Consider the following 10014-nt stretch of genomic DNA (forward strand, 5'->3'; position numbering starts at 1 on the left):
TGAATTAAAATTAAACAAAGAATTAGTTCCCCAGACATACCAGTCACATATCACCTGTTCAATAGGCACATGTGGTGTGGATAGACTACCTTCCCATCATGGCAGAATGCTCTTGTCTGGAGGGGCAGCTGACAAGTAACCTGGCCATTTATAATCCAACGTGCAGGTGTGGCTATAGGACTCGTTACCTCCCCAATGTGTCTGGATCTAGGAAAGAAACTGAAAAGAATAAAACAGCTGCTTTCTTTCTTCTTCTTCTTTTTTTTTTTGAGACAGAGTTTTGCTCTTGTTGCCCAGGCTGGAGCATGATGATGTGATCTCGGCTCATCACAACCTCCGCCTCCCGGGTTGAAGCGATTCTCTTGCCTCAGCCTCCTGAGTAGCTGGGATTACAGGCATGCGCCACCACACCCGGCTAATTTTGTATTTTTAGTAAAGATGGGGTCTCTCCATGTTGGTCAGGCTGGCCTTGAACTCCCGACTTCAGGTGATCCGCCTGCCTCAGCCTCCCAAAGTGTTGGGATTACAGGCATCAGCCACCGCACCCGGTCAGCTTTATTTATTTCTGAGTATGTGTACTTTAGTCCTTTTTATTCACCATCTCACTCTGTCTTTACACCTCATTTCCAGGTGAGGAAACTTAGGTTCAGAGAAGGAATGTGACTTGCCAAGCTTACACTGACAGTGGATAGTAAAGACCCTCCTGGCATTCCTGACTCAACAATTGTGTCCTTAACACAATGTAAAAAGTCTGGGAGATGATGATATAGGCAGCTAACAAGCCGAGTGCAGTGGTACACGTCTGTAATCCTAGCTACTTGGGATCAGTTAAGGCCAGGAGTTTGAGTGCAGCCTGGGCAACATAGTGAGACTCTGTAAGTCTGTAAGGCATTCTCTTGAAGTTTGTGGTTTTTTTTTTTTTTTTTTCCTGAGATAGAGTCTCACTCTGTTGCCCAGGCTGGAGTGCAGTGGCATGATCTCAGCTCACTGCAACCTCCGCCTCCCGGGCTCAAGCGACTCTCCTGCCTCAGCCTCCCAAGTAGCTGGGACCACAGGCGCCTGCCACCATGCCTGGCTAATTTTCGTATTTTTGGTAGAGACAAAGTTTCACCATGTTGACCAGGCTGGTCTTGAACTCCTGACCTCAAGTGATCTGCCTGCCTTGGCCTCCTAAAGTGCTGGGATTACAGGCATGAGCCACTATGCCCAGCCTTCTTTTTTTTTTTTTTTTTTTTTTTTGAGACAGAGTCTCACTCTGTTGCCCAGGCTGGAGTACAGTGGTACGATCTTGGCTCACTGAAGCCTCTGCCTCCTGGGCTCAAGTGATCCTCCCACCTCAGCCTCCCAAGTAGTTGGGACTACTGGCATGCGCCACAATGCTCAGCTATTGTTTTTATTTTTTGTAGAGATGGGAGTGGGGGGTGTCTCACGATGTTGCCCAGGCTAGTATTGAACTCCTGGGCTCAAGCGATCCACCTGCCTCAGCCTCCTGAAGTGTTGGAATTATAGGCGTGAGCCACAGCGCCCAGCTGAAGTTGCTTTCTATCGTACTCATTGCAACTCTAGGAGGCTGAAAGTTATCACCATCTCATTCACAGATGAGGAAACCAAGGTGCAGAAGGGAAATGATTTGTCCAAGGCCACCCAGAAGGGAAGGCACTTGTTTTTTCTGTTCTCTGCCTAGACAATGAGCACACTGGGCCTGGCTGGCTTCTTCGCTGTGACTCATATCCTCTTGGGGGACATGAAGACACACCAAGTCCATTCTCCCTCCTGCGAAGTTGGGGACCCGGCCAGGTTTCTCAGTTCGAGTTGCACCCTGGGGGCCAGGACCAGCAGACACGGTGGGCTGGCTCCCCACCTCTCTGGATGGCTCTGGTCCCTCTGTGGTCTAACTCCCAGAGGCCCAAGGTGAGCAAACTTGGTCTTGGGACCAAACCACCCACCTCAGAGTTTCAGGGCTGGCAGGACTGGCTCCCACCCCTGCCTTGTGTTTGCCTTTTGAACTTTTGTTGTGAGTTTATCTTTAAGGGGGAAAAATATCCCATAAACTTAAAAATAGGCAGGACTTAATTAATAGTACGCTTTGTTCTTCTGATCCTTATCTGGACAGGAAGACACAACCCTTTTCAGTTTTATGGGTCAAGGTGAAATTGCCTCTCGGGGCTCAAACACAGCTGCTGCACCTTCCCCTTTTGAACTCTGGTTCCCTTTGGTTTTTTCTCCCTTGGGGAGAAGGGTATTTCCCACTCCTTAGCCTCAGCACTTCATCAAGGTCTTTTCTATTTATCAGATTGCCAGCGGTACCTGTTATAATTATTTCTTCATACATAATTAATAGCTTCTGTGCACTGAGGACTTCTATGGGCCAGGCACGCTGTGAATGGCTCCTAACAGCCCCACATGGTAGGTCTTCTAATTATATCCATTGTACAAGTGAGACAACTGAGGCCCAGAGAGGAGAAACGACTTTCCAAGGGCCACACAGCTCTAAGAAGTGGAGCTAGGCTTTAAATCCAGGTCTCTATGCCCCAAACACCCACGACTATGATTTACTGATCACTTAGCTACGTGCTCAATGGTCCCACAATGCTAATTTTAAAAACCACATCCTGGACGGGCGTGGTGACACATGCCTGTAATCCCAGTACTTTGGGATGCTGAGGGGGGGGCAGATCACTTGAGGTCAGGGGTTCGAGACCAGCCTGGCCAACATGGTGAAACCTTGTCTCTACTAAAATACAAAAAGTAGCCAGGCGTGGTGGTGTATGCCTGTAGTCGCAGCTACTTGGGAGGCTGAGACAGGAGAATCACTTGAACTGAGGAGGCCAAGGTTGCAGTGAGATGAGATCACGCCACTGCACTCCAGCCTGGGTGACAGAGTGAGACACCATCTCCAAAAAAAAAAAAAAAAAAAACCAACTTTAATTTTTTGTTTATTTAAAATATGTTTTCTTATTTTTAACAGTCCTACAAGGTGGGCACAATTATTCTCTCCATCCCACAAATGAAGAAACTAAGGATCAAAGAGGTGAATTCATTTACCCAAAGTCACACAGTGACTAATGGCAGAGCTGTGATTTGCACCAAACTATGTTTGCTACATAGCCAGGCTCAAAGGAAAAGAAGTATATTAGATGCCAAAACATTGGATTCTGGCTGTTCATTGTGTGACTTTGGACAAATCCCTCAACTCTCTGAGCTTTAGCTTCTCATCTGCAAAAAAGGGAACATGACCTAGTTTTCCAACGTTTTGAGGTCATTAAGAGCATCGGATAAGTAGGAACCAATGATTATTGAGAAGCTGCTCTGTCAGGACCTGGGTTTATATGCCTTATATCAGTTTTGGATGAAATTTTGGTGAATTTTGGGCTGGGCGCAGTGGCTCATGCCTGTAATCTCAGCACTTTGAGAAGCCGAGGTGGGCGGATCACCTGAGGTCGGGAGTTCAAGACCAGTAAGACCAACATGGAGAAACCCCGTCTCTACTAAAAATACAAAATTACCTGGGCATGGTGGCGCATGCCTGTAATCCCAGCTACTAGGGACGCTGAGGCAGGAGAATCACTTGAACCCGGGAGGTGGAGGTTGCGGTGAGTTGAGATCGCGCCATTGCACTCCAGCCTGGGCAACAAGAGCGAAACTCTGTCTCAAAGCAAGAAAAAAAAAGAAAAAAGAAATTATGGCAAATTTTATCTTTAAAAAAGTCTCTTCTGGCCAGCATGGTAGCTCATGCCTGAAATCCCAATACTTGGGGAGACTGAGGTGGGCGGATCACTTGAGGTCTGGAGTTTGAGACCAGCCTGGCCAACATGGTGAAACCCCATCTCTACTAGAAGTACAAAAATTAGCCAGATGTGGTGGCACATACCTGTAATCCCAGCTACTCAAGGAGGCTGGGGCAGGAGAATTGCTTGAATCCGGGAGGCAGAGGCTGCAGTGAGCAGAAATCACACCACTGCACTCCAACCTGGGCAACAGAGTAAGACTCTGTATGGGAAAAAGAAAAATTCTCTTCCATGTCGTCTGCATTTTCTACAAAAAGTGTATCTTTCTTCCACAGAGAAAAATAACTGCTGCCCATTTAAGAACTACCTATTTAGTCCTTACATCAATGTGGTGTGCGTTTCAGGAGAAAGGAGACTCAGCAAGAAAGGAAGTGATGTGACTGGGAAGCCGCTGAGGAAGGAACTGAACCCAGCTCTGTCTGACCCCCAAATCTTGGTTCCTGTTACTCTAACGAGGGCAAGTCCTCCATCCTGAGAGAGTGCTGGAGGATTTGCAGAAATGTTTGCAGCAAACCAGCCCCAGCTGAAAGAGGTGGGAATGCAGCCGCCCCAAGTGTTTCTGGGCTCTCAGATGGGGATGACCTTCCACAGCAGGGAGGGGAAATGGGAGACTGGAGCCCAAATTCCTCATTGTCTACAGAGAAATGGCCTGGGTCCAGGGCCACCTGGGGACTGACACTCTTCTCAGCTTTCCCAGGGCTCAGACTCCATGCCTTCTGCATGGTCTATCCTGAGAGCAAACCTGGGGTTATCTGGGGACCCCTCTGGGTCAGTGCTTTTGGATATAATCCTGCCCTGGGTTCAGGCCCTCTAGCCTGACTCTGGCCTTTTTGTCTTCTGCCCCCAACCCTATCAAGGCTCATGCCTGTAATCCCAGCACTTTGGGAGGCCGAGGCAGGAGGAGAACCCAGGAGTTTGAGACCAGCCTGGGCAATATAGCAAAAGACCTCATCTCTACAAAAAAAAAGAAAAAAAAATTCAGTGGGGCATGGTGGCACATGCATCTAGTCCCAGTTACTAGGGAGACTAAGGTGGGAGGATCCCTTGAGCCCGGGAGGTAGAGGCTGCAGTGACCCAGGATTATGTCACTGTACTCCAGCCTGGGCAACAGAAGGAAACCCTGTCTCAAAAAAAAAAAAAAAAAAAAAAAAAAAAGGACCGGGCGCAGTGGCTCACGCCTGTAATCCCAGCACTTTGGGAGGCCAAAGTGGGTGGATCACCTGAGGGCAAGAGTTTGAGACCAGCCTGGCCAACATGGTGAAACCCTGTCTCTACTAAAAATTCCAAAATTAGCTGGATGTGGTAGCATGCCTGTAGTCCCAGCTACTCGGGATGCTGAGGCTGGAGAATTGCTTGAACCCAGGAGGGAGAGGTTGCAGTGAGCCGAGTTTGCGCCACTGCACTCCAGCCTGGGCAACAGAGACAGACTTTGCCTCAAAAAAAAAAAAAAGGCATAGATCTAGTAGCCTTCTATAGTACAAGATGGGGGTCCTACTCCTGATACCACCTCAGGTGCGCAATTTTTTTTTTTTTTGAGACGGGTTCTTGCTCTGTCACCCAGGCTGGAGTACAGTGGTGCAATCTCAGCTCACTGCAACCTCTGCCTCCCGAGTTCAAGCGCTTCTCCTGCCTCAGCCTCCCTAGTAGCTGAGACTACAGGCGCACACCACCACGCCTGGCTAATTTTTGTATTTTTAGTAGAGACGGGGTTTCTCCATGTTGGCCAGGCTGGTCTCAAACTCCTGACCTCAGGGTGATCCGTCTGCTTTGGCCTCCCAAAGTGCTGGGATTACAGGCATGAGCCACTGTGCCTGGCCTTTTACTTCCTTTTATTCCTGCTCTAAAACTTGTCTCTGTCTCTCTCTCTCTGCCTTTTGCCCCTTAGTTGAATTCTTCTGAGGAGTCAATATATATATATATATATTTTTGAGACAGAGTCTCACTCTGTCACCCAGGCTGGAGTGCAGTGGCATGATCTTGGCTCACTGCAACCTCCACCTCCTGGGTTCAAGCGATTCTCCTGCCTCAGCCTCCCAAGTAGCTGGGACTACAAACGCATGCTACCACGCCTGGCTAATTTTTATATTTTTGTAGAGGTGGGGTCTCGACATGTTGGCCAGGCTAGTCTTGAACTCCTGACCTCAGGTGATTCACCTGCCTTGGCCCCCCAAAGTGCTGGGATTACAGGCGTGAGCCACCACGCCCAGCCAAGAATTGAGGTGCTGTAGACTCGTACAGATTTGTGGCTACAAACAATTTTATCAAGAGTTCCTAAAAGCGTATATCTGGGACCAGGTGCAGTGGCTTATGCCTGTAATACCAGCACTCTGGGAGGCCGAGGTGTGAGGACTGCTTGAGCCCAGGAGTTCGAACCAGCTTGGGCAACATCGCAAAAGACCCCATCTCTACAAAAAAATAAAAAAATTAGTGGGGCATGGTGGCACATGCCTCTAGTTCCAGTTACTTGGGTGGCTGAGGTAGGAGTATCCCTTGAGCCTGGGAGATCGAGGCTGCAGTGACCCATGATTGTGCCACTGTACTCCAGACTGGGCAATGGAACGAGACCCTGTCTCATAAAAAAAAAAAAAAACCAAAAAAAAAACATAGATCTAGCAGCTTCTTACAGTACAAGGTGGGGGGTACAAGTTCAGAAGGCAAGAACTCAAGAGACTTTCTTTCTTTCTTTTTTTTTTTTTTTTTTGAGACGGAGTTTCGCTTTTGTTGCCCAGGCTGGAGTGCAATGGCACAATATCGGCTCACCACAACTTACGCCTCCCGGGTTCAAGCGATTCTCCTGCCTCACCTTCCTGAATAGCTGGGATTACAGGCATGCACCACCATGCCCGGCTAATTTTGTATTTTTAGTAGAGATGCGGTTTCTCCATGTTGGTCAGGCTGGTCTTGAACTCCCAACCTCAGGTGATCCACTCACCTCGGCCTTCCAAAGTGCTAGGATTACAGGCGTGAGCCACCGTGCCCGGCCGAGACTTTCATTTCAGAGTAGCAATCGGTTGAGTGCCTTGGCTTGTGCCAGGCATGAATCTGTCAAAAATAAAATCAGATCAAGTTAAAATTTCAGGAGTTGATTGTGCATACAAAGGAAGAGTCTGTGAATCGGGAGATTACAAGATTGGCAAGAAGTCTGAATTGACAGCAGTTGTAGCACAAGAGGAAGTATTTTGACCCTTTACATGATTGGCTGATATATATTTTTTCAAAGGCAAATAGAGCTGCTTAAGCTGGTTTGTCTATGGCTGATTGGTTTAATTCTGTGGAATCATGCTAATAAGGGAAGAAAACTTATTCTTGTGCTTTGTTTATGTTTAGAGTTAGCATTTTGGAAAATCAGGTGCTAAAATTTTGGTTATGTGGCTATGGTGGTTGGTCTCGGAGTATCTAAACAATTGTTTCAGCTCTTTATCAATTCTAATGACTTTATTATATGCATTACCACCTTCTCCTCCTCTTCTTCATGCGGTTTTATTACCTTCTTTAATCCTCACGTCTGCCCTCTGAAATAGAAACTATTCCAGGCCAGGTGCGGTTGTTCACACCTGTAATCCCAGCACTTTGGGAGGCCAAGGCAGGTGGATCACTTGAGGCCAGAAGTTCAAGACCAGGCTGGCCAACATGGAGAAACCCTGTCTCTACTAAAAATACAAAAATTAGCCAGGCATGGTGGTGCATGCCTATAATCCCAGCTATCTGGGAGGCTGAGACACGAGAATTGCTTGAACCCAGGAGGCAGAGGCTGAAGTGAGCCGAGATCATGCCACTGCACTCCAGCCTGGGCAAGAGTGAGACTCTGTCTCAAAAAATAAATAAGTAAAATAAAGTATTCCAGTCATGTGCTACATAACATTTCAGCCAATGACGAACCACATACACGATGATGGTCCCGTGAGATTATAATATTGGCTGGGTGCAGGGGCTTAGGCCTGTAATCCCAGGACTTTGGAAGGTCAAGGCGGGAGGACCGCTTGAGGCCACAAGTTAGAGGCCAGCCTGGACAACATAGTGAGAATCTGTCTCCACAATAAATAAATAAATAAATAAATAAATAAAATTTTGTGTGTGTGTGTGTGTGTGTGTGTGTGTGTATATATATATATATTTTTTTTTTGAGACTGGATCTCACTCTGTCACCCAGGCTAGAGTGCAGTGGTGCGATCTCGGCTCACTGTAACCTCTGCCTCCCGGGTTCAAGCGAGTCTCCTGCCTCGGCCTTCCGAATAGCTGGGATTACAGGTGCGCCCCACCATGCCCAGCTAATTTTTGTATTTTTAGTAGAGACAGGGTTTTTCCATGTTGGTCAGGCTGGTCTCGAACTCCTGGCCTCAAGTGATCCACCCACCTCAGCCTCCCAAAGTGCTGGAATTACAGGCATGGGCCACTAGGCTGGCCAATACTGTGTTTATACTGTATCTGTGTTTAGATACGCAAATACTTACCATTGTGTTCAACTGTCTACAGTATTCAGTAAGGTAACATGCTGTAGAGGTTTGTAGTGTAGGAGCTATCAGCTATACCATATAGCCTAGGTGTATAGCAGGCTATCCCCATCTAGGTTTGTGTAAGTACACTCTGTGATCTCTGCACAATGACAAAATCGCTTAATGATGCATTTTTCAGAACGCATCCCTGTCATTAAGTGACTCATGACTGTATCTCTATTTCACAACTGAGGAAACTGAAACTCAGCGAAGTACATCACTTGCCCAAGGCCACACAGTGGGTAAATGGGACTAGGCATGGGATGCAGGCAGCCTGTCTTAGATCCCACGCTCGGATCCCATACCCTGCCTCCAGGGTCTCAGACTTTACGTTTTACTGAAAAGACAGCCTAATTCATGAGCAGCTGGATCTCAGAAAGGGAGCCAAGCTCCTTGGTACACAGATGGCCCAACCACGAATGGTATCTGAAGGGCTCAATAACAGGAGCCAGCCGGGTATCTTCTTCACCCTCTGGGGTGACCAAAGACACGAAGGACTGAGAGAAAGCCTTTAGAGGCCTCCCCCAAAATTTAATCCGTTTTTGTGATTGTTTCTCCTGGACTAGACTGCCTTGAGGATAAAATAAACATGAGCGCCTGGTGGCAGTGCAATACCTGAGTGGTACGTGGGCTCTGCAGGCCAACTGCCTGGAGGGAGGAAGCCCCATCACCACTACTTGTGTTTCTGTTCCCCATTTGCACCACACCCCTCCTTTGAGGGTAACTGAAGCCTCTGAGTTGTCAAGATCCTTAAAAGATGACAGTTTGAGAGAGAGAATAGTAGAATTAGAAACCCCAAGAGGCCAGGTGTGGTGGCTCACACCTGTAATCCCAGCACTTTGGGAGGCCGCGGACCCCGAGGTCAGGAGATCGAGATCATCCTGGCCAACATGGTGAAACTCGGTCTCTAATAAAAATAAAAAAAACTAGTTGGGTGTGGTGGCGCGCGCCTGTAGTCCCAGCTACTCAGGAGGCTGAGGCAGCAGAATCGCCTAAACCCGGGAGGTGGAGGTTGCCATGAGCCGAGATTGCACCACTGCACTCCAGCCTGGCGACAGAGCAAGACTCTGTCTCCAAAAAAGACAGAAAAAAAAAAAAAAAGAAACACCTTGGACAGGAAACATGTCTATGGGAGGAAGTAAGGCCAGATGCTTGCAAAATAGGGGGGAAAGTGAGACCGGGAGGGAACACTTCCAAAAGTTACCCCCATGGGGTCTGAATTTGGGGCCTGGGAAGGAATTTGGGTGCATTTAGATCCACCACTGATAGTCTCTATTTTGGCACCCTGTTTTGTTCCCGTATAGCACTTACCACTGTTCTAACTAAACAATTAATTTCATTATGGGTTGTGCAAAGTCTATGATTCTCATGCGGGACCCCAGGTGTGTTTTTTGTTCATGTAGCACAAAGCTCATTGCCTAAGTAGTAGGTAGGATTGGTAGATAAAATACAAGAAGTCCAGTTGTTTAAATTTTAATAAACAATGCATTTTTTTTTTTAGTATAAGTGGGTCCCATTTGCTTATCTGAAATTCAAATATAACTGGGCTTCTCCTATTTTATCTGCCAAATCTGACAACCCTGGTAGCAGGGACTTGATACATTTTTTTCCTTTTAGGGAGAATTTCTAAATCGACCAGTATTTATGGAAAATGCATAAGCGTTTTTTTGTTTTTTTTGTTTTTGCCTTGACTCTGCCCTACACTTGCGGTGCGACCCTTTGGCAAAATTCAG

The 10014-nt window shown here is 47.3% G+C and overlaps 1 protein-coding gene and 1 long non-coding RNA gene across 6 annotated transcripts in view, besides 2 other annotated features; one reads left to right on the plus strand and one right to left on the minus strand.

Moving 5' to 3' along the window:
• The window catches only part of CABP1 (calcium binding protein 1), a 40241-nt gene extending 35550 nt beyond the window's left edge, over positions 1–4691 (plus strand). For 2 of the 4 annotated variants that reach the window (XM_017020238.3, XM_024449280.2), the window contains one exon: positions 4133–4683. In XM_017020238.3, coding sequence (XP_016875727.1) covers positions 4133–4263 — 131 coding nt within the window. In that variant the 3' untranslated portion in view covers positions 4264–4683. Of the gene's footprint in view, positions 1–4132 lie in introns of all 4 variants that reach the window. The other 2 variants (XM_017020235.2, XM_017020239.3) reach the window with 2 other exon arrangements.
• The window catches only part of LOC105370029 (uncharacterized), a 10974-nt gene continuing 960 nt past the window's right edge, over positions 1–10014 (minus strand). For both annotated transcript variants that reach the window (XR_945449.3, XR_007063490.1), the window contains exons 2-3: positions 6721–6830; positions 1–219 (exon numbers count right to left, since the gene is read on the minus strand). This is a non-coding gene — a long non-coding RNA (uncharacterized LOC105370029). The remainder of the gene's footprint in view (positions 220–6720; positions 6831–10014) is intronic.
• Positions 4060–4169: an enhancer, noted in NCBI's record as "active region_7147". NCBI's record gives its function as "activates an Ori minimal core promoter by ATAC-STARR-seq in GM12878 lymphoblastoid cells {active_cell/tissue: GM12878}" and the evidence as "EXISTENCE:reporter gene assay evidence [ECO:0000049][PMID:35858748]".
• Positions 8889–8978: a silencer, noted in NCBI's record as "silent region_4961". NCBI's record gives its function as "represses an Ori minimal core promoter by ATAC-STARR-seq in GM12878 lymphoblastoid cells {active_cell/tissue: GM12878}" and the evidence as "EXISTENCE:reporter gene assay evidence [ECO:0000049][PMID:35858748]".

The sequence above is a fragment of the Homo sapiens genome, chromosome 12 (genome assembly GCF_000001405.40).
Source record: "Homo sapiens chromosome 12, GRCh38.p14 Primary Assembly".
NCBI lineage: Eukaryota > Metazoa > Chordata > Mammalia > Primates > Hominidae > Homo > Homo sapiens.